The 24,178-nt window shown below is 38.7% G+C and overlaps 1 protein-coding gene across 20 annotated transcripts in view, besides 1 other annotated feature; it reads right to left on the reverse strand.

Annotated features, from left to right (window-relative positions):
* Positions 1-24,178, reverse strand: part of RALGAPA2 (Ral GTPase activating protein catalytic subunit alpha 2) — a 323,115-nt gene that overhangs the window by 98,623 nt on the left and 200,314 nt on the right. For 17 of the 20 annotated variants that reach the window (XR_007067471.1, XR_937111.3, XR_007067470.1 and 14 more), the window contains 4 exons: positions 23,102-23,173; positions 17,259-17,382; positions 15,199-15,354; positions 6,965-7,123 (listed from right to left, as the gene is read on the reverse strand). Coding sequence is in view for 13 of the 20 variants with exons in the window: in XM_011529310.3 (XP_011527612.1) it covers positions 6,965-7,123; positions 15,199-15,354; positions 17,259-17,382; positions 23,102-23,173 (511 nt within the window). In the remaining 7 variants the exon portion in view is untranslated. Of the gene's footprint in view, positions 1-705; positions 1,060-6,964; positions 7,124-15,198; positions 15,355-16,798; positions 17,022-17,258; positions 17,383-23,101; positions 23,174-24,178 lie in introns of those variants that run through there. The other 3 variants (XR_007067473.1, XR_937112.3, XR_007067472.1) reach the window with 2 other exon arrangements.
* Positions 4,157-5,404: an enhancer, noted in NCBI's record as "VISTA enhancer hs688". NCBI's record gives its function as "enhancer in: neural tube[8/8] | hindbrain (rhombencephalon)[8/8]" and the evidence as "EXISTENCE:transgenic organism evidence [ECO:0001131][PMID:17130149]".

Here is a 24,178-nt window from a genome sequence, read left to right on the forward strand (position 1 = left end):
GGTTGAAAAAAATCCATGTGTAGGTGGACCCACACAGTTCAAACCCATGTTGCTGAAAGGTCAACTGTATTTCCAAATGACTGCTTTCTCCCTTTTTCTGCCAAAGAGGGGATTTTCCTCCAGTTTTTACTGTGAGAACCTGGTAGGTATCCTAGAGGTAGAACTCACAAAAGTGTGGAGGATTGTCAGCCAGCCCCACTTGACTCTATTTAACTCTCAGATTTGCCCACACTAAGCCTCCTGCAATTGGTGAATTACAATTTAAGTATTCCTACTGTGGTATTGGTTTCCCAGAGGTTTCTGCTCCTGGGCTTCTGTTCTGATAAGGTGTGCTTCTCTGTATCTGCCTGTCTATCTCTCTAACTTTAGGGACAGGGGTTTGCCTGGTCATTTCAATTCTCTGATGAATCTAAGAACTGTTTGATTATCAGTTAACTGCTGATTATCAGCTCGTTCTTTTTCTTGCTGTGAGGATGGCAGTGATGACTATCAAGCTCCCTACATACTGACTGGAAACCAGATGTCTCCCTATCTGAATTAAAGCAGCCTCCTTCCTGCCCATTCTATCACTCTGCTTTACTTTCTTTGAAATACCCATTGCTATAAGAGTCTCAGCTCAACCATTTATTTACTTATTTACTGGCCTTCTCCCTTACTAAAATTTAGATTCCAGGAGAGTGGGACCCCCAGCCCTTGACACAGTACCTGGCATGAAGCAGCCTCAACTGATAGATGTTTCCTGCTTGACTGAATGAAGCACTCCTGTTCCCAAGGGACTAATTGCTGGGCATTAACCAAATCTGTTGCTCCTTTCGACATTTCTAGAATAAGATCTCTTGTGACCATCTGTCTTTTGCTTCATGGAGATGCATGAAAGGCCAGGGGAAGGGTGACGGGAGTGGCCTTGGGATCCTGAGTAGCCTTCTTCCACTGCCATAGTTTTGTTTGGTGGGTTTGAAGAAAATGTTCCACAATTAAAACATAAAGATTTAAAAACTGCAAAGATTGGGCAAAGCTATTTTGATATCAGCGTCTACAGCACAGAGGAAGCAGTCGGACCTATGAGAATTCAAATGGGAGCAAAGAAGGAGGAGACTGTTAGTTCTACTAGTGATGACTAATAATGAGCTTTCCCTCTACGACAGTACTGGTAGAAAACACAGGCGTTTCAGTTCCAAACAGGAAAATTAAGAATCTACTCATAGTCTAAGATCATTCGTGTTGCCAGGTTCAAATAAGAAATAAGAAAATAAGAAAGAATAACCCTTTCTTCCTTCTATCTTTAGTAACACCACACTTCAAAGAGTTTATTTAAAAAATATTCTATATAAAAAAATAAGTGTACTTCCTCTTATGGCTTATACTAAAAGCAGTCCAGTAATCAGTGAGGTGGAGTTGTAATGAAAGTATTCATGAAAAAAAAAAAAAGAGCAAAAAACCCAACAACAACAAACTAATACATTTCAAGTATAGCATAGAAAATACTACTGTAAAGATAAATTATCTGATTTGGGGCAATGAGCGCTCTTTCCTTTTCACAGAAAAGTTCTGTGTGCTCTGGACACCCATCCTCCTTGCTGGGCTGAGTGGCTGACATTGTGTGCACCTGTGTGCAGGAACCTAGGCAGTCGCATGCCAAGGGGTCTGGGGAGTGTGCTGTCTCTTGAGCCAAAAGGCCCTTCCTACTGAGTAGCTCAGAGGCAGAGAATGAGAGCTGCCTTGCTTTCTTACATTACCATTTGCCATTTGGTATGCATTTACACAGGCTGGCTCTGGCTGGCCAAAGGAGAGAAGATAAAGCAAATAAGAAGAAGATGTATATGCAAAGACCAACTTAAAAAAGGGGAAACAACGTCAACTTCTGAGGAAAATCAGTTGAGAAGAAATTCTCAAAAGCCAAATTGTTGTGAAAGATAAAACAGCAGCTAAGAGCTAATAATAGTAGGCTATAGATTTTCTTCCATCTGTATCAAGGCTTATTGTATAAATAAACGTTCTTTAGTATTCTTCAGCAACTGCTCGTGGGTGACTCAGTCTTTCAAAAACCGGACAAAAGGAATAATACAAATCCCCTGTATCTAGGGAATTCCTCTAATTAGAAGTGGCAATGAATTAGAGAAGAAATTTGATTTTAATTTAACATCTGCAAATGACAGATGCCTTTTCACATAGTTCTCAATGTCATTCCTTTACTAAAAATAATGCTAATAACAATAATAATAAATTATCCAAACAGAACATAACATAGTAATCCATTTAATAACCTATTTTAGTACATTCTGGTTGTTTGGTATTTTCAATGATCTTTTCTAAATAAATAATTCTTTGTATATTCAAAGGTTAACAATTTATTTTCCCTGAGAAGTTCCCAGAGCATTTTAAAGGGCATGATTTAATCTTAAACAGGTTAGTTGGCTGTGATTGGGATAAATATTTAAGAAAACTGCACATATAAAATGAAAAGAAAGAAATTTACATAACCATGTTGCAAAGTCAAACACTCTCCCTATACCGTGAGGCCACACTAGTAAGCTTAAAAGACTTCCTTTCAAACTCAGTGCCAATCCTAGGCTCCTCTCAGCCTCCCATGTGCAAATGCTCTTGTAACTTCTGGCACAACAGCCTTTTCCCAGCATTTCTGGGCACCTGCTCCAGGTACAGGTCCTGGGCTAGATGTCACCCTGAAGAGGGATGCATGAACACACATGAACACACACACACACACACACACACACACACACACTCACACTCACTCACTCACAATAGCTGCTGAACCTTCAAGAGAGCCAGCGACTACTTCCATGACGCTCTGGGGATAGTCAGGACAACTTAAGGAAAGGTACGGGCAGCTAGGAACAAGAGGATCCAAAAAAAAAAAGGCATTTAGAATCCCTGTAAGGACTACAGAGAAGCCTTGGTTCTCAACCAGCATTTCACAGCTGAGGAAGCTAAGATTCAAAGAAACGGAAAGATCTGCCCAAGACACCTACCATCTTGTGGTAGGCTTAGAACTGGAACTCTGGTGTCCCATCTCCTGTCTTACTACTTCCCCTCCTACGCTTTTCACAAATCACTGAATCACTATCATTTTTTTCTCCATGCTCGTATGTACCAGGGCTGAGTAAGTAGAGTTCAGAGGACATTAGCATATTTTCCATTTACAAAAGGGACACTCTGGTTGAGGTGAAGAGGAGGACACTTCACCAAAACTTCCTCTTGTCTCAACTGCTCCTGCTCAAGGCTGCTTCTGAACACCTACCCTCTGGTCAACTGGTCACCAGCCAGTCACTACTATGCCTGGAAATAAACATGCCCAAACCACTAAAACTTACCTTCGCAAATTTCTGAAGGCAAACACTTTGAACACCAATATTACTTTCCAGATACTGAAAGAGAGGGAAAGCAGCACGGGTACTCACTGCAGTGTGGAAGTTCTATGAATCACTTTTCTGAAGAACAACTCTGGCATTTTAACAAACCCCTTGAATCACTCACATTCTGCTCTATATGCAAGTCTTTCCTTGACTGCTGACTTAATAATAAAAGCTGGAAAAAACATAAGTCTAACAATAACACATTTCTTTTCTGTGACCAAAGAATGATTGTGTCAATGTTTATGGAGATGGACTTATTTTGAAAGTAATTTAACAATGGAATGATGCTGCTAAGCACACTGATTTTTTTTTTTTAAATGAAAAAAAGAAGTTCAATACAAAGCTCAAGAAGTGAACAGGCCCACTCAGATGAGAGGGTTTTATGCGTTCACACAAGCACACCCACACTTCTTCAACATACCATTTCACAAATGCTGTGTATTATTAAGAGGAGGCGGATTCTGCCAGGCACATAATTTGTATATTTAAGGGAGGTGTATGGAATGAAAAAGCGAAATATGTTAAATTTCAAAGGACTTGGAAGCAATGCTGCCTGTAAGCTTGTATTACAAATAGCCCTACATTATTACATACGCTATTAATGAGGCCGAGTGAATGAAAGTACAATTTGAATATGCATGACTCTACCCAATGAGCAAGACTTTTGTGTACTGATGAGGTTTTTTTTTCTCCCAAAAAAGGATTAAAATTATTCTTAGAGGAGTATGGCTGCCCAGAGAACAGTAAAATAAATGTACTTAGACCACAGAGTCATACTATACTCAGATGAAATACACAGGTGCTAAAAGAATGCCTTTGACTCTACCTACAATTTTGGAAACATGCATATCCTGTCCTTCAAAAGGAATATTCCTTAACTTCAAGCAGCTGCGTCATTACAATTTCTAAGAAAAAAATACGGATTTTGGTGGAGATCCCTAAAAGTAGGCAAGGTTAAATAAACCTTTTGAGTACAAAGCCTTCCCTTCCACAGTAAGGAGCACTAGTTAAAAGGCTGGGGAATGGGTAAATTATTGTACCAAATGGCTGAGAATTAATCTCTGCTGACTAGCTGTAATCTAACGAGGCGTCTGTGTCCCAGGGAGCCCGCAGCATGTCCCTGGCGGTATGTGCAGTGTGTCGAGTCTGCGTGGCACCCTTTGTCCTCGCTCACAGGCGGCCTTTCCCCTCATTGTCCGTAATATCCTCATGCATCTGGGACGCGTGGAATGCATTCATACTAACAGACTTACCATTGTTTTCTCTCAGAAGCTTTGTTGAGCAAAGACTGCATCACGGTTACTGATAATTATATTGCTTAATTAATCAAGACAAAAAAAATTTGCAAATCATTGCCTGGTTGCCAAGCAGGGAGATAAAAAATGACAACAATACAAGCTGAAGCAATATAACAAAAGTAACAGCTATCTGATCAGAAATTCTTATATAATGAAGCTATTAATGCTAAATCGGTTAATGTTAACATTGCTCCAGGTGTCTCTACTTAGATGCAAACAAAAAGGCTAACATTATGGATATAAAAGGCCAAATGTTGCCATGGATTCTGTAACCTGATAGAGAGGACAGCCTTTTCATTTGATTAGGGAATGCAATTTAAATACCAGGGACTGAAGCCAAACAAACAGACTTTCCCTCCGCAAGCCTCTTGCATTCACCCTGGGGTCAGTGGTTGGTGAACAAAAGGTCAGCCACACTTGCCCTGGAAATGTCTGGATTAATTTTATTACATTGTAATGGTTTGTACTTTAAATGTAAGGATAATACTAAATTTCCAGTTGGCCATTATTCTCTTCTTCCCTTTAGGCTTTTTGAATTAAAATATTAAGAAAGCGATTTGCTCAATTCATCTTGTCAGAATTTATAGCCAAATTCATTAAATGTGCAAACATTTTATAAGAAAGTTTACAAGGTATGTTAATAATTATATTCATGCATTATAAGTGTACTATCTTTTTAAAAAATCAAAAAAATCACTTTTGATTCTATAAAGTGAATTAAAATGGCTTGCATGTTTTTTACTTAAAAATAAAGGTGACATTTTTAGGACATTAAATGACATTTTAGAAGCCCATGTTGAAAATGAGCTAATAAAGCCAATTAATCCATACTAAATATTAAAGAAACACATTTCCTCTTTTTGAAAGCTATAAGACACTAAATTCACTGGTTCTCTTATATTAAAATTTTCAGTTTAATTCTTTAAAGTAGTGCTCTTCATGGACAAATACAAATGTTAGCACTAAGAGCCATTTTCATACACAAAACTGAAAACTTCACGCACATGGAGATCAGAATAAAAAATGATGCAAATATTTAATATGAAGTGACTTTTGGCATCTGCGTTCCCTCAATAGAAAAGAGGGTTCCCTTTATGTCAGGCTTTGCAACAGCCAGAATGGGACTTTTATGAATTCAGGAGTTGACCCACAATGCATCTATTCTGAGAATAATAAGCATGTTAAACTTGGAATTCATTAAGTATTCTCTCTCCATAGTAGTAATAACAAAAAACAACAGCAACAATAATAATAATAATAGCTAACACTTAAGTAGCTTTTACTCTGGACCAGGCACTGTTTGAAGCACTTTCTATTTATTAGCTCATTTAATCCTCACAACTTTAACCCTTTAGATTAGGTCATAAATCCCAATATGAACAATAAATCTGTTGCCTATTATTTCAAAGCTTTAAAAGAGAGTTTTCAGAAGGGTAACTTTCAGCTCCTTCAGGAGAACAACTTGAAATGAAAATGAAGATTATACATACTATCAAGCTGAAAAACACAATGTCATTCCTCTTGAGGGATGGCTTAATATGCTAATGTTTAATTTAAGAACTTTAAAAACGCCCTTCTATTAGTAATTCTAAAACAAAAACAAGTCGCTACATAAAGCATGGCTAAAATACCACTAAAGGTATGACAAGGATCGAAACTGCAGCCAATTTAGTACACAGCACACAGATCATTGGATTGTTCCAGCTCTTCCCATGATCAATACCAATTGACATGGCTGAATTGATTCTGCAGCAAGGTGCTCCAATTGTTGAAACTCATCACGTGGGCCGTGCTCCAGAGTCCCGGCCTCTTCGTGGACATGCCTGCAATTCTGCAGGATTGACCCCATTAGCACAGTCAGAGGCTTGGCAAGTGCCCGACACCAGGCAAGGCTGGATTCCATACCCACGGTTCTCCACAAAATGCTAGATGTGATATGGGGTTCCTTCAACTCTTATTATTAATCAACATAACCAAAATTTCAAGATACAATTTTTCAAAAGTACAAAATTTAGAAAACTTAAAACATTTACAAAATAATAAATTTGACATTATAATTTCCAAAGAGGCCTAGTAATACAATAATACAATTTTGTGCTCATGATGAAAAATTCTTTGAAAATCCCAATTCATATTTAATTCCTATAAAGCATGCATAATTCAGATATATGTAAGACATTCAACAACTGGATGAGAGTCCCCTTTAACATATTTGTATCACTGATTTTCAATGACAATGAATCACATGGCAAATGCTTTATGAGTCAGTACAACAATGCAATGAAAACGTACCTCAGGTTTCTTCGTTATCGCGATGAAGAACATGTGATTCTTCATTGGGTAAATAATGATTGAAACATCTCCAAAGGCAGTTGGGATAATACCCCTGCGGTAGTCTCTGGAGTGTTCAGACCAGACGATATGGACCTCGTCATTCCCCAAGTGACGAAGCTGCAACAGCAAATTGACTGTTTATTAATCAGGGTGATAACAGCAGTTTATGAGGGGTCATGGCTTACAAATTGAATTATAAAACTCAAAGGCCAAAAAAATTTCACTACCAAAAAAGGCTACAACATTGATGTTCTTCTGTGAGGATTTTAAAAAGCACAAGTGCATAAAAACACAGCCTGTCTTCTTAATGTGTTGGTACCAAGATAAGGCATGCTAGCTTCGCAGGCACATTACAGCTGGATGGGGCTGAGGCCTTTGTAAGAATTTATTTTCTAATGGAATTTTACTCCTGCGTCAGAGTCCTGTGCTTTATATTGCTGAATATGTTTCTAAACAATTAACAACACGTGTCTTTTATTCCACATTGCAGTTGTGCTTTATAAGATTCTCAATTCAATGGTTATTATGAAAATAAGAATATGAACATAAGAGAACATAAGCCACTACAACACAATTGTTACCAAATGTATAAGAAACTAGATTTGTGACAAACCTTTAAGAAAAGGACGTATAAAATTACCTTTGCTTAGGAAATGAATAACTACTGCTTAAGTCTGATAAGAACACTCCTACCTAGCATTTAAGGAGTGCTTACTGTATAGAAGACATGTTCACACATACTATCTCATTTAATCTTCCCACTAACTCTCTGAGGTAGATGACATCATCTTCATCTTACTGTACAAAAAAGAAATGGGCGCTCAGGAAGGTGAAGGCACCACCTACCCGAGGATGCATGAGTAGCAGTGGCAGAGTGGGCCCGGGACATGCACTGGGGCTTCCAATTCAGGGCCATTTCCACTGTTTCAAAGCTACCTAAGCCTGCACCCAAAGTTACTTTACTGTCATTGCTTAGTAGTGTAGCCCACTTGTTTTATCATCTTATACACAAAGAGGCTGTAAAGAACAAAAACAAATCACAGACTCCTGGCGTCTTTGAGGAGGCCTTACTAGAAAGATCTCCAAAACAAGACCCCTTGAGAGTTCTTTCAGGCCCAGGCTCTGTCAGGTGTAAGAACACCCTTGATCAATCTCCTGCACGATGACCGTACCATCTCAAGCTGGAGAAAGCTGCACACGAAATCATTTAAGTGACAAAGAATCAAAGTGTGACTAAAAGAAACTAGATTATGAAGATTAAAATGTTGGCCAAAATTGAAGTTCTGAAACCACAAAAGCTGGTAAGGCCCTCTGACATCTTCTGGGAATTTGAGATTCTCGTTCTCTCACGTGGAACTGCAGAAGGATGCTCTCTGGCACCATGAACAATTATTTCTTGCTTCCTTATCTAACAGATGAACATTAAAAATGACTAAATTCAGAAGCAGTTTAATAAAATAGAGATGTGTCAAATTTAACATTTTTAGTTTTGTCTTAAAGTATTTTTTAAAAAGGTGTTCTGGAATACTATGTATTTAAAACGTGTTAGCATAAATACAGTTTTCTTTAGACTATTTGACCACAAAAAGAAAATCTGAGGTGACCCCAACATAGCCTCTTTTCTGTTTATAAGGTTACAAAAGGAAGCTCATCTGTTGCAATGCCTGTTTATTCTTCACTCTCTCATACTTCTGGGAATGACTGTACAGGCCAATTATTTAAAAAGTGACCTGTGCCTATACCATTGTACCTATACTGAAGGGTGCACGATTCAACTGTGTTTGAATGTGGGCTCTGGGACAAATGCAACTGCGGGTGCTGAGCACAAGTCACGATGATCCAGAACAATTTAATGGCATCTCCGACTTTCTAATGGCAAAATTACCCAGTACATCATTTTTTTCCTTCCTCCTTCCCACATAAAAGTAAAAGAATAGCAGGCAAAATGTATAGCCAACCCCTTACATAGTTTTAAACAAAATACAACCCTGGGCCTCCTAGTAGTGCTGAACATCTCTTTATATTTCTCCATTCCTATATTTGCTACAGCTTTTTTCTTTTTCCTTTTTAATAAAACATGCAAAGACATTACAATACACTCCTAAAATTCAGTCCTTTTGAAGTGAAAACACGGTAGCCAGCATCACCAAGAACCTAATATAGGTATGTTTTCGGGGAAATATGAATAGTATCTAACTGGAACTGTAGGAGGAATTGAGACCTGCAGAAAGTAATTGTGAGAACTGGGGCTGTCCTAGAGTTCACACAGCCCTCACCCTGCAAAGACAGCCAGCTTCAGGGTGGCTCTGGGTCCCTTGGTATAATGCTTGCACAAATGTCTGAATGGAAACACTCACCTACTAAACACCCCTCAAACGTGCTGCCACCACCCGATGTTGGTGCTCTAGTATCTGTGATAGCTCCTTTTGATCCACAAGTATTAGTTGCAAAACATTGACTGTGAGGTAATACCGTGATTATTGAAGTTTTGTAGTTACTTTCCCATTTCAAATTGGGTTACTCAATTACATAACCTAAGTAAGTATCTCTTAATTTTACTTGCATCTGTATACTCAGAACTACAGCGAGGGAGGTTAGTTTCACACTAACAGACCCATTCTCCCAGTGTGGCAATTCTGTAATTAAGGAAGAGCAATTTTTGTGTGGTAATGATATGATATTCATCTTCTCATAGCTGCTTTCAGTGGCACGTGACTCAGACTTCTGGATATGTCACAGTTTAATTAGCTAAATCACAAAACTAAAAGCTAAGGCCATGGGAGCAATCGGCTGATAAATCTGGAGCAAAGGGCAAAATATGCCTTCTTTTGCCTATAAGAAAACAGGTAGGTAAAATAAATAAAATTCATCTGGGCAAACTGTCAACCATGTCAGAACATACGGAATACTCTGGATGGCTCAAAGTGTTGCCCAATTTAAAGAAGAGTCCATCATTGACACATCATTTTGTGAGTATTGAAGAACTGGGATTAGAGGCCCTCAAATTAGAAACCCATCAGTGAGTTCGGTGAGTGCACACAAGTCAAGTTGATCTGGTTCCTGTGTAACTGGGGAAGAATGATGAGTCTCCTTCTGGAATGGAGCCGGTGTTTATGTTAGCTACTCCTTCAACTGCACAACAGGCTCCACAATGGCTGGATACTTATCAGGCTCAGAACAAATGCTCAGATTTTAAGTCTTAAGAAATCAATCCCGGACCCACAACTTTTCATCCTAACAGAGTTTTAAAGTCCCTTTGCCTAAGCCATTCTGTCTGTTGCTGCTGCCAGGCTGCACGCCACTGGTGACACCGGTCATGGTACACACCTAATAGGCTGACCTCCTTTCTCGACTAATTGCATTACATCGCCAGCTGGCTCCAGAAGGAGTCGTCTGTTTGATTGAAGAATTCCTGCTCCTCAGTGGGCCCGGCTGCTACTTTTACTAAGTAACAGTCAGGCCTGACATCCCCATTGTTCAGCTGACAGTGTGCCCATCCTAAAATCTAAGTTTTATTTGTAAATTAACCAAGAAACTTCCTGCCAGAACAGCGCTGCCTGGAGACTGATAATGTGGGCCTTTCATCCCTTTTCACTCGTACTGTATCACTGCCAATTTGTTTTTTATGTGGCTGGCCAGCCTGAGGCTATAAAAGCCTTGTAAGACATAAGTGCAATTATAGTCCTGGAGTCAAATGAATTGGACAAATCCAATAGCACAGCTCTGTCCCCACTCTGCAAACCCCTACAGCAGTTAGATTAGCTGTGAAAAATCTAATCTAGCTAGAGCTAACAAATTTCTGCAGTGAAGGATCAAGAGTTCAGTATGGGGTTGCAACTGGATTGCAGAATTGAAAAAGTCCCCCCATGATGGGGGCAGAAGAGAGCATGAATCACTTTAGAATTTTGCAGCTCATTTTTAAGCTGTTAGGGACAATTTAGTTAGAATAAGACAAGGAACTGTGGGCTGCTGTTACTGTGACTGATTTTTAGTCTAGCTGTGAGACATCTGATAAAGAGAGTTTATCACTAATGATGCTAAACCTTACAGCTGCAAAAGGTATCAGCTGAATTTTGATTATTACAGTAGGGAATCATTCAACCAGGCCAAGTCTTAGAACATTATTTACAGCTTGGCATTTTATCAAGAAAACATGTCTTTTCTCAAAAAAGAAAAAACAGTCCTACTTTACTTAAGAAATAATTTAAAAAATATTTTATATATAAATTTTATCTTTTAACAAAATAATTCTCAGTCATAAGAAAATTATAGAATATGGTGACACATTTGCAAAGCAGAAACAATTTACAATGTACTGCAAATAAAAAAGATGTGTGAGCCCAGCTTAGGATCCTGGTAAGCTACACTAGAGTCTGAGATCCTGGTGAATTCTTGGAGGGCAGAGTTCCCTTTGCTGAGAGCTCTACAGCCAGGGGCAGCCATCAAAACCCAACACTGAGGCAGCTCCTCCAAGACGTGTGGGAACCAGCACGTGGTCAGCGCTTCTGGCTGTAGTACTGCCACCCCCAGGAGGTCATTATAGCATGCTGGGGCAGGAGAGGGAAAGGCTGCTGAGTTTTTGAACGCAAATTGTACTTTCTACATCTGAGACACTTGATCACTACGGAAGTTGTCTGTAATTGGGCCATGACTTGAGTTCTGATGTTTCACATGCACTGCTGCCCATCATATACAGGCACACCTCAGAGATATTATAGGCTTGGTTTCAGACATATCCGCAATAGGTTTTTTAGATATTGCAAATACAGATATTGCAATAAAGCAAATCATATAAACTTTTGTGTGCACTGGGAAAGCAGTGTGCATAAAACTTATGTTTACTATAGTCTATTAAATGTGCAATAGCATTATTTCTTACCATATGTATATTAATAAAAAAATTTTATTGCTAAAAAATGCTAATGATTATCTGAGCCTTCAGTGAGTTGTAGTCTTTTTTTGCTGGTACAGGGTTTTGCCTTGATGTTGTTGGTTGCTGATTGATCAGGGTGGCAGTTGCTGAAGGCTGGGGTGGCTGTGGCAATTTCTTAAGGTAAGATAATGAAATTGCCACATTGATTGACTCTTCCTTTCATGAAAGATTTCTCTGTAGCATGTGATGGTGTCTGACAGCATTTTGCCCACAGTAGAACTTCTTTTGAAATTGGAGTAATATTTTCAAACCCTGTCACTGCTTTACCAATTAAATTTATGGAATATTCTAAATCTTTTGTTGTAATTTCAACAATGTTCATAGCATCATCACTGAGAACAGATTCCTTCTCAAGAAACCCACTTTCTTTGCTTATCCATAAGAAGCAACTTTTCATCCAGTCAAATTTTATCATGACATTGCAGTAATTCAGCTACATCTTCAGTCTCCACTTCTAATTCTAGTTCTCTTGCTATTTCTGCTAAATGTGCAGTGACTTCCTTCACTGAAGTCTTGAATCTTTTAAAGTCATCCATGAGGGTGGGACTCTATCCAAACTCCTGTGAATCTTGATATCTTGATCTGTTCCCATGAATCACGAATGTTCCTAATGGCATCTAGAATGGTGAATCCATTCCAGAAGGTTTTCAATGGTCTTTGCCAGATCCATCAGAGAACTCACTCCCTATGACAGCCATAGCCTTATGAAAGTTCTTAAATAGTAAGACTTGAAAGTTGAAATTACTCCTTGATCTGTGGGTTGCAGAATATGGATATTGTGTTAGCAGGAATGAAAAACAACACTACATCTCCTTCAGAGCTCTTGAGTGATGAGGTACATTGTCAATGAGCAGTAATACTCTGAAATAAATCTTTTATTCTGAGTAGCAGGTCTCAACAGTTGGCTTTAAATCTTCAGTAAGCCATGCTCTAAACAGACGTGCTGTCATCCTGGTTTTGTTGTTCCATTTATTGAGCACAGGTAGAGTAGATTTAGCATAATGTTTAAGGGCCCTAGAATTTGGGGAATGGTAAATGAGCACTGGCTTCAACTTAAAGTCACCAGCTGCATTAGCCCTAACAAGAGAGTCAGACTGTTCCTTTGAAGCTTTGAAACCAAACATTAACTTTTCCTCTCTAGTTATGAAAGTGGTAGATAGAAACTTCTTCCAATAGAAGGCTGTTTTTACTACACTGAAAATCTGTTGTTTAGTGTAGCCACCTCCATCAGTGATCTTAGTTAGATCTTCCAGATAAGCTGCAGCTTCTGCATGAGCACTTAATGCTTCGCCTTGTGCTTTCATTTTATGAAGACAGCTTCTTTCCTCAAACTTCATGAACCAACCTCGGCAAGCTTCAAACTTTTCTTCTGCAGCTTCCTCACCTCTCTCAGCCTTCATAAAATTTAACAGTGTAGGGCCTTGCTCTGGATTAGGCTCTGGCTTAAGGGAATGTTGTGGCTGGTTTGATCTGTTCAGACCACCAAAACTTTCTCCATATCAGCAATAAGGCTATTTCGTTTTCTTTATCATTCATGTGTTCACTGGAGTAGCACTTTTAATTTCCTTCAAAAACTTTTCCTTTATGTTCAAAACTTGGGTAAATATTTGGTTAAAGAGGTCTAGCTTTTGCCCTATCTCAGCTTTCAACATGCCTTCTAATCATTCCTAGCTTTTGATTTCAAGTGAGAGACATCCAACTTTTCCTTTCACTTGAATACTTTGAGGCCATCAAGGGGTTATTAATTGGCCTAATTTCACTACTATTGTGCTTAGGGAATAGGAAGGCCCAAGGAGCGGAAGATACATAGGGGAACGGCCGGTGGGTGGAGCAGTCAGAACACACCGAACATGTATGAATTAAGTTTGCCATCTTATAAGGGCAGTTTGTGGTGCCCCAAAACAATTACGATAGCAACATCAAAGGTCACTGATTACAGATCACCATATGAGATAATGATAATAATAATAGAAATATTGTGAAAATTACAAAATGAGACAGAGACACAAATGAGCATCTGCTGTTAGAAAAATGGTGCCAATAGACTTGTTTGATTAAGGGTTGCCACAAATATCCAATTTGTAAAAAATGTAATACCTGTGAAGTGTAATAAAGTGCTGCACAATGAAACAAGGTATGCCTGTACATAGTCCAGACATCTGTGGCTGCAGTGGTGAAAAAGCAAAACCGTACAATAAAGAAATAAAGCAGGTACAGTGAGGCCAATCGGCCAATATAAAGCATCTGGCTAACGGGGCAGGGGGAAAAAAAGAATCAATTAGACCAATGGGCAATAATGAGGGATGATGGTCAGAGACATCTTCCCAGGCACCGTGCTAAGCAATTTTATAGGAATTATCTCATTTACTTCACTCAACAACCCTGTAACATAGGCTGTGTTTTTAATCTCACTTAATAGATGAAAAACTGAGGCACAGGTTGATGAAATAACTGAATATACCTCTGATCCCTGGTCTGCCTGTCACCGGAGCCTGGCTATAACCACCACAGTAGACTCCCCAGTGGCCAGCTTTGGTCAGCACGTGAGGTGCTGCCCTCAGTCCCTTGCATTTATGTGGTAGGGAGAGAGTAAGGTGGGGATTCTAGGTTCCCCACCTGCTAGCAGGCCAGGTGAGTGCATATCACAGTTGCTCTGAGACGTTCTCCTCATCTGGAAGCAGATCTGATTAGAGGCTTCCTTCCCAGAGTTAAATGCCTCTTCTTTTAAGGCGCTCCTCACTTTTAACACAGGGTTGCCTGAGGCAAACATCCTGCAGGTTGGAAAGTAAAGGCCAAGTTCCCTGGGGGAGGTTCCTCAGGGGTGGATAAGGTTTCCTTTGAATTCTAAGGAAAACTGGCCACAAGGCAAGTTGAAGAATAAAAGGTAAGGGGCAACAGTGGGGCGGCTGAGCAGCTGCACACCTGCACTTATGTTGACAGATGCTGCCAAATCGCCCCGCAGCAAGCCTCAGAGGGGCCTGCTTTCCCAGAGCCCCACCAGTACAGGGTCATCATATTTTGTAACCTTTGACAATCTGTGAGATCAAAAATGTCATTTTCCATCAGGTAATATTCACGGGAGGGAAGATCCAAAAGTAATAACATTTAAGACGCCTTCTTTCCCCAAACCTTAATCTCAGGGTCGTAGAGTTCAGAGAAACCATCTCAGTGTGCGTTCTACCCTTGTATTTGTCTGTCCTAGGAGAGCCTCACCTACAAACCAGGGCAGCTAAGAATGGTGCCCGAGGAGACCCCTTACCTTTTTGGTGAGGGAATCATCTGAGTCTGACGGCATTCGAGTGGAAACATGGAAAATCACTTCCACAGTTGAGGTAGCATAGTAAGGGGCCGTCTGCCCGGTGCTGCCATTGCGCTGAAGGCCACCCATGAACCCACAGTGGGTGGAGAGATCCACCTGACAAAGGTCACAAAGAAGAAAGAGTGAGGATCAAAAATGAGCTGCTCTTTCACTAAGCAGGACTGTGAATTCAGAAAAAAAATAAATTATTTTCGTTTTTATATCTTTCTTTCTGATTACAAACAAATGTAATACAAAGTTAGACCAGATTAAAATGTTAAAGAAATAAAAAACATTAAAAATGAAAGTGCTCTACAATCATATCAACTGAATAAAACCACTACCAAACTTTTGGTATATAATCTCTAACTTTTTTCCCACCTGTATGTATAAATGTATGTGTATATATGCATATATGTGTGTGTATACATAGGTTCCCTATTGATGGATTTTGGGGGTTTCTGCTTTTTCAAAACAGAAAGCACACTCAAAGGAGTGTTTTTCTAAGATGTTGGGTCAAAAGGTACCAATATTAAAAATATTTAGCAATCCTTGCTAAACTGCCTTTCAAAAGGGTTGAACAACCACTTTACACCACTGCCGAAAGTTTATGAGTCATAATTCAAAGTTACGGCATGAGTGTTCACTTCTTAGTGCCTTTATCCAAAATTTTTAACTTGTCATAAACTAGTATTCTTTCAGTAAAATACCTATTCTAACATATATGAAAAAAGAAATAGAAGAATCTCTTCTGTGCCAAATAGAGTAAACATATACTCTCAAAACTCTAATTGATAATGTATGGCTTAAAAATATATTAAATAACAACTATATTCTATGACAAATTAGAAGTAGCCTTACTAGTGAGAACAATGATTTACTGGAAGTACAGTAACTGTTAGACTCAAACCTACTTGCCTTCTTAGTAAGGATGTCGTTTTGACTCTGATGTACTCTTACCCTGTTTCCATCCCTGCCTTAGTCCCCTTGCTAGCACTGAGCTCTCAAAGGCACCCAGAGAGTTTTTCAGAGCACAGGTACTCAAGAAACTAATAAAAAATAAGGAAATTGGCCGGGCAATCCCAGCACTTTGGGAGGCCGAGGCAGGTGAATCACGAGGTTAAGAGATCAAGACCATCGTGGCCAACATGGTGAAACACCATCTCTACTAAAAATACAAAAAAAAATCAGCTGGGTGTGGCGGCGCGTGCCTGTAGTCCCAGCTACTTGGGAGGCTGAGGCAGGAGAATTGCTGGAACCCGGGAGGTGGAGGTTGCAGTGAGCCGAGATTGTGCGACTGCACTCCAGCCTGGTGAAAGAGCAAGACTCTGTCTAAGAAAAGACAAAAAAAAAAGAAAAAAAGAAGTAAATTATTTTAGATATGTTGATTTCCATTTTAACTACTCCTAATTCTTTCAGATTCTAGGAATTTTTTTTTTAGGTTTATGTTTTTTGGGGAAAGGTGTGTATGTGTGTATAAATGTATATATGTCTGTATGTCAGAGTACCATTTAATAAAGAAAAAATAAACTTTTTCAACATCAATCATCCTGAAATCTACCTTAGGGAAATAGGTTGATAGCTAAACCATCATGGCTATTATATTATATTTTCATTGCAACTTTTGACTTCATCCAACTCTTTCTTCATCTTTTCACCCATCAAGTCATTGACTTCTTCTTCAATCTCCATACTGTGGCCAAAGCCATTGCTTCTCTGCCCACATTTGTCTTCTCTTACTACAAACTGTCTATGTCTGGGAGAGCCCATCTGACTATTCAGTTCTGATAAAAAGCAAATGAAAAAATATTAAGAGGAAAGTTAAAGGAAAACAAAAGTTCATGTATTAAATACTGACAAGCAACTAACAGATGTCAAATCCAATAAATTCTTCAATTCCAGAACTCTATCTATGCTATATTTGAATGCAAAAGCACATGTAAAAACTTACACAATGTCTAGTTTGGACACATCTTTAAACAGTGCTGGTCAATAAACACCTACTGAATGAAATGCATTACCTCCCATCCAAGTCCAGCAACAAAGTCTTCATATGCTTGGCTTCCTCTTTCATTAGAGAGGATTGAACACTTGTCTTCTTGACCTTCAGCAATGTAAAACACTGCGATTTTGTGTGTCTCACGGCTATAAATTTTTAAATTTAAAGGAGTTAGAATTCTTATATGTAAAATTTTACTTCACTACTATTAATACCACCAGCATGACTTCTACCACTGAGCTTACATTTACTGAGAACCTGCTAGAGGTCAGTCAGTGTTCTGAGATGGTCTGACACATAGTCTCATTTATTCTTCAAAACCATGCTAAAGAGATGAGTATTATTATCACCTCCCTAGTAGAGGTGGTTGAAAGGAGGCACAGAAAGTGAAACAAAAAGCACATCCAGCAAGCTGGGGATGGGAACTGTCGCAAGGCCATCTGCTTCCTGAGACCATACCCTCAGACATAAGATACACCGACCAGAAGGCTGGGGCACACCATTTGGTAAGTTCTCTGTTTTTGGTAAAAAAATATCTTTTAAAGTATTTCAAATACATATAAATTGTGAATAGATCTATGTGACTGTCCATATTTAACTCTACACTTTAAGGCTACTGGGTGGCTCTGTGATTGGAACTATAAAATATGCCACGATTTTATGAGAAAAAGAAGATCCTTCCAAGCGAACACACTTAGGTATTTTCTTCATGAAGGGGTTTACCAACTTCTGTACTCTGACTATTCTGAGGGTGCCTGACAGGGTGGATAGCTATTTAGTGGAACCCCTTTTAGCCATATAAACCCTTCATCTGCTTGTTCCAACATAGATCTTGGATACTCTGGTATCAAATCAAGCAAAAGTGATGTGTACTTTGAAAAAAGAAGCCCTGCCATTTTCTCTTTTGCACATCTAGCATACTGCTTTGCATATAGTAGGTGTTCAGTTAAGTCTCTGTTACACTGAGCAGATATATGGTGATACATTTGAATGCATTAATAATAAATTTCTACAAATTATACCCTGGAGTAAAGCGACAAAATACCTGGGCCTAGACCAAGCATTTGGTGATAGTTTAGAGATGAAACACTGTTCTTATTCAAACGGAGCTTTGATTACGAATCATTCATTCCCTAGCCCAATCACCCAAGAGTTTTGGTTTTTTTAAAGTTTCGATGTCCACTTCCAGAGCGGTTCCAACTTTCTCCTTTTTTTGCACTACATTCTGATAAATCTCATAGGAATAACTGTCAAGTTCTTAAATACAGAAATATTTTTTCTGTCAAATTTAATATTTAATTTTTTAATATTTGTTTAGTATTTCAACATTGTAATTTGATTAGATATTGTATTGGTAGAACTGAGTTCCATATTTTAACAAATTATCTAAGATTTCCTTCTGTGTGAGTTATTTCTCTACTTAATAATCAGAACTAACTGATTCTCAATTAAAAAGTCATACAAATAACTGGAGGAAGAGAGTTCTCTCCTTTTACTCAGCTTATTCACTTCCCCTATGGTTTATATGCAATAAACATACTTGGAAGAAGAATTAGAAAATACAGAAAGAAAAGAGAAGAATAAAAATCACTTGCAGTTTCAACGGATAAGCAAAGAACATAGCCGTTACACCATTTTAGGATACACTTTTGCATGCACATATGAGAAGCTACTACATTCTGTTTTACAACAGATTTTTTCACTTAAAATATTTGTGAACACTTTTTTATTGTGGTAAAATATACATATCATAAAATTCACCATTTCAACCATTTTTTTAGTGTGAACACTTTTATATCATGTGCTTCTACAACAGAGGTTTAATGATTGTAACAACATTCCATTATATTAATATGTCATGGCCCAAATCTTCATTTAGGTTGCTTTCATTTTAAAAGACATTTTCACGTTATCTTTAATACATCCTTAAAGATAATCTTTAATGTTTTTAATCTTTTCACAATATCTTTTTTTGAGATAGTCTCACTTCGTCACCCAGGCTGGAGTGCAATGGCGTGATCTTGGATCACTGCAACCTCCACCTCCTGTGTTCCAGTGATTCTCGTGCCTCAGCCGTCCCAGTAGCTGGGACTACAGGTGCATGCTACCACACACCACCACACCTGGCTAATTTTTTTTATTATTTTTAGTAGAGACAGGGTTTCGCCATGTTGGCCAGGCTGATCTCAAACTCCTGATCTCAGGTGATCCACCTGCCTTGGCCTCCCAAAGTGTTGGCTTTATAGGGTTGAGCACCATGCCCAGCCCCAATATCTCTAATATGTCCTTAAAATAAATTTAGAAAACTTGTCCTCATGCAGCAGGAAGCCCTGAAAGTGCCACACCATTCACTGCCCTGAGCAACAGGCAGGGGACACCAATGGCGTAGAATCTAACTAGCCTATTCCAAGAGCTATAAAAATTTGGGCACTTGGATAATAACAGAAACCATAACCTATGACCTAAAAGACTGTCTCTTTCAACAAAAGTGGAGAAGTATAGTTATTCAGTTTTTATCTGAAGGTCTCTCTACATATGTAAAAACTCCTCAGCATTTAATTTTTCTTTGTTTTATAGACTTTACATACATAAAAACAGCCTCAGGTTTATCTACAATGTTTCAGTTTATTCTCCTTAAAAATCTAAGCTGTTTCCATTGCAGCTGTTCCTAAGTCCTTGAGCCCTCATTAACTCAATGTGAGAGCACAAGAGAGCTAAGCCTGAATGATGGGCTGACCAATGTGAGTGTGAGGAAAGATGACCTTTAGTTGTAAACATTCATCAAATTTCACATTCTCCAAAATGTTAGTACCACAGAGAGCCTGCTAGGATGCAGAAGCTGTGTCTGGCCTTATTAAAGCCATGCTTTTGAAATGATAATTAGCAACATCAACAGCACTTCACATCCATAAGAAGCACACCAATGCATGAAGGAGCAGGTAATTCAGAAACACACATACATGAAATTAACAATCTTCCCTTCCTCATTAGAATGCACTGTTCTTTCTTATTAGGAATAGACCAGAATAGCTCAGTTTCCTTGTGCTGTCACATGAAAAAGCCAAAGAAAAGCATGATTTTAACATCCACCTCCCCATGTAGTGGCAAGAAGGCATTTACATCTAACAGGGAAGCCCACTGTGATTTGTATGTACATTCATCATAGCACTGACAATCTAGACCATAGCTGCAAGATAGCCTCAACTTTTCCAAAGAACATGTTAAGAAGGAACTATACATCAAGAGCAGTGAGATACATTGATATCAGAATTAAACAGAAATGTTCTAAATGAAAGTTGACAGACAAGGTATTTTCTTACCTGCTACCTGACCAAAATACAGGGCAGTCTAGATTTCTCATAGCTGAAGAGTCCCAGACTTATTTCTAGTTTCTTCAAAAAGATCTTGAAAATACCCTTCACCATAAAATAAGTTGATACCCATTTGATGTCAAGAAGACACTAAATCCAGGAGTTGGGGTTTTAAGTGAAGGTTGATCAAGGGGCAGGGGACTGCCACTCAGCTATTCAAAGCCATATTTCGTTGCAACAGTACCCCAGGGAGCTAATTCAATTGTACCTCATGCAACTAAAGTGCATTAACGCTCAACAAATTGACCGCAATTACATGAAACCAAGTATTCACTTAATACTAAGAAGCCTGGAATAATTCAGCATACGCTTAAAAAGCTGAGTGTGGAACCCAAATGACTGCTTATTTAATACTGAAGGAAGGAGGGAGAGTGTGGTGAACCCCTGAGTTCTTCAGAATAAATCCCTTACAGAATTTCCATAGAGAAGTTGATCTATGTTCCTCTAGAGAAAAGGAATCACAAGAAGAATCAGGAAACAGAATACAGTGAAGGGCAAGGTGAGAAATGGCAGCTTCAGGTTTTTCATTTCTAATGACTTTAAAAAATTATTCAAATTCAAATCTTTTACTGTCTCACCTGATAAGTCAGGAAACAAAGACATTTAAAATGGCAATGGAGCTGCAGGCTTCTGGACAGAGAATGGCTCCTTTATCCAGGTAAAACTACAAATGAATATTTTAATTTTGTGTTTTTAAAAAAATGTCTGCATATTTGATACTGAAATATTTATCACTCTTTAAGGCCACCTAGGAAAAAAGGCCCTCATGTCCCCTTCTGCAGAGGGAATCAGGTTTGGAACAGCCATCCTGTCACATTCCCAAGACTTGGAAACATACACAAAACAGTTCATGCTTCAACATGTATGTAGCTATATGATGCAATAAGAGGCGCTCAGTGACCTGGGAGACAGGTGGGAAAGTAGAAGGGTGAAGAAAAGAAAAGAAAAAATGAAAAGAAAAGAAAACTTATGCCCTTCTGATTCCCACAAAATGGTCAATACAAACAAATCCATCTTAATACCATATGCTTCTGAAGGATGGAAACAATACATAGCTGTGAGTAAGTTTAATATTATTTTATCTACTCAGTCCTTAGTGACATTACCAAAGGACCTTTCTGAAATATAATCTTCCAAGTGTTTAAAAGAAAATTCCAACTGGACTTTGCTAGTTGGGTTTATATCCAATTCAAGAATTCAAAACACCAAAGAAGAATCACAGTTGTGAAGGTGATATGCAAATAATAGTGACATGAACCAAGAGTTTGCTTGAAAATAAAATTTAAGCATGTGTCACTTTGGGTTTCGATCAAAACTCTAAAATAAACAATAAAACCATCACAAAGCCACTGAAACACACACAATGGTGAAAATGTTCATTCAGCAGGCTCTAACTCATCGCTGTAAGTGCAAGCAGGAGAAGCTCATGACTTAGATGAGAAACGTGACAGTGGATGAAGGATTTAATGAATGGAATAAAGAGCTCTAGTAATTTTCTGAAATTCTAAGATATGACTTTGTCAAGATAAAGCAGGGCTCTGTTATTTCCTTTCTTCCTTCTTACTTCTCAGCCAGCAACTGTACCACCCTTTAAAAACATATAGATCAAAACAGATTTGAAAATTTTTGAGTTAATGAGTAGTAAGAAAAATGTAGTGAAAAAATATAGTGTGAAGAGTTGAAAAATAAAATTGAGGAAAACAACCTGAATTTTTAATTTGAGAGCTGACAGAATATTAGAATATTCCTACAGGGAATAAAAGTGGTGTTTTTTTTTTTTAGAGTTTTTTAAAAAACTAAAGATTAAGGAGGCAGCTTATTCTCTTCGAAACTTTGGAACATCTGTTATGTACCAAGTCCTATACTTATTCTTGACTTAGATGATTTCGGAAACACACATTCCCCAAATCAAACACTTTTCATGGTTGTGAGCTCATCTTTAGAAATGCTTCTGAGACAGTATAGAACAGGGGTGGATCTGAGTCTGGCCAGCTTTGGAGAATGAGCCTTATTAACAGAGAGTTATTAATTACAACACACTGGTTTTAACCTTTCCAACACTATGAAGCCACAAGTACAGAATGTTAGCGCCTTGATACACAACATGGATTCTGAAGTCAGACTCACTTGGCTTTAGATAATATGGTATGAGCAACCACGGGCTGTTAAACCTAGGTAAACTTTTTCTTCATCATAAGGAGGTGGTTGCAGAGATCAAATGAGAATAAATTTCTACTGGCAGCCACAAAGAAAGATAATCAAAAGTACAGATTAGGTGGGAGTGGTGACCTCTTTTTAGTGTATCAAACATGAAAGTTTATTCCTTATAGTAAAAAACACCAACGGTATGGCATGCGCAAATGTCACCAGATGCTAGGTTACAGAACTACCCTTGGATGTCTCAGTAAGTCTATTCATTCCTGCTGTTGTATCTGTTATCCAAGAATACCCAAAGACAAACAGGAAAAAAGTGGTTTGATATACTTTCACATACCACTGGCGGGAGTCCAAATTTTTCAGCTCTCTCAATAATTTTGAATTTTTCTTCAATAGATGAAAATTCTTCCTATAAAGAAAAAAGGATGGAAGAAAAACCATGTGATTACAGAACCATTTTGCCGCTTTTCAATCAGTAATTTAATAAAAATACCTATCATCCATCCTCTACCACCTCACTCACAAAAGATTTGTGATAGAAACCTACAGAATGAACTCCATCCTCCTTAAGACATGCAAAGGTATAAAAATTCCATCAGCATCCCATTACTACCCAGTGACACAGATGGCTCTTTGGTGAGTATGTGACTTACATGCATGTGCCTGTGTGACTGTGTCTGTTTCCAGTGTCAGCTCTGCTGTGAATCCCTTTTCCCTACCTCTGTTCTTAAAAACTCCACTCCACTATCAGGGTCCAGCTCAAATCCTCCCCTTTCCACAAAGTCTTCTCCATTGCTCTGTACTTCCCATTGGATTTAATCATTACTCATGAACTCCTGTGTCATTCTATCCTTTATCAGAGTTGTATTAGGTCTATCTCCCACATCAGACCTAAGGTTAGACTGTGGCTTATTCACCTTTGTAGTTCATTTGCTTCCTGCATGAGGGCAGAAACAATAATGGACAAAGCAGTAATTAAAACACACACACTCAGCCAGGCGCAGTTGCTCACGCCTGTAATCCCAACACTTTGGGAGGCCAAGGAGGGTAAATCATGAGGTCAGTAGTTTGAGACCAGCCTGGCGAACATGGTGAAACCCCGTCTCTACTAAAAACATCAAAAAAGCCGGGCATGGTGGCAGGTGCCTGTAATCCCAGCTACTCGGGAGGATGAGGCAGGAGAATTGCTTGAACCCAGGAGGCGGAGGTTGCCGTGAGCCGAGACCATGCCACAGCACTCCAGCCCGGGCAACAGAGCAAGACTCTGTCTCAAAAAACAAAAAACAAACAACAACAACAACCCCCCCTACACACACACACACATACACACACACACACACACACACACACACAAATGTTTGATATCCTTTAAAATATCCAACATGTTTGGAATTCAATCTGCACACCAGTACAG

Source organism: Homo sapiens, chromosome 20 (assembly GCF_000001405.40).
Source record: "Homo sapiens chromosome 20, GRCh38.p14 Primary Assembly".
Classification (NCBI taxonomy): domain Eukaryota; kingdom Metazoa; phylum Chordata; class Mammalia; order Primates; family Hominidae; genus Homo; species Homo sapiens.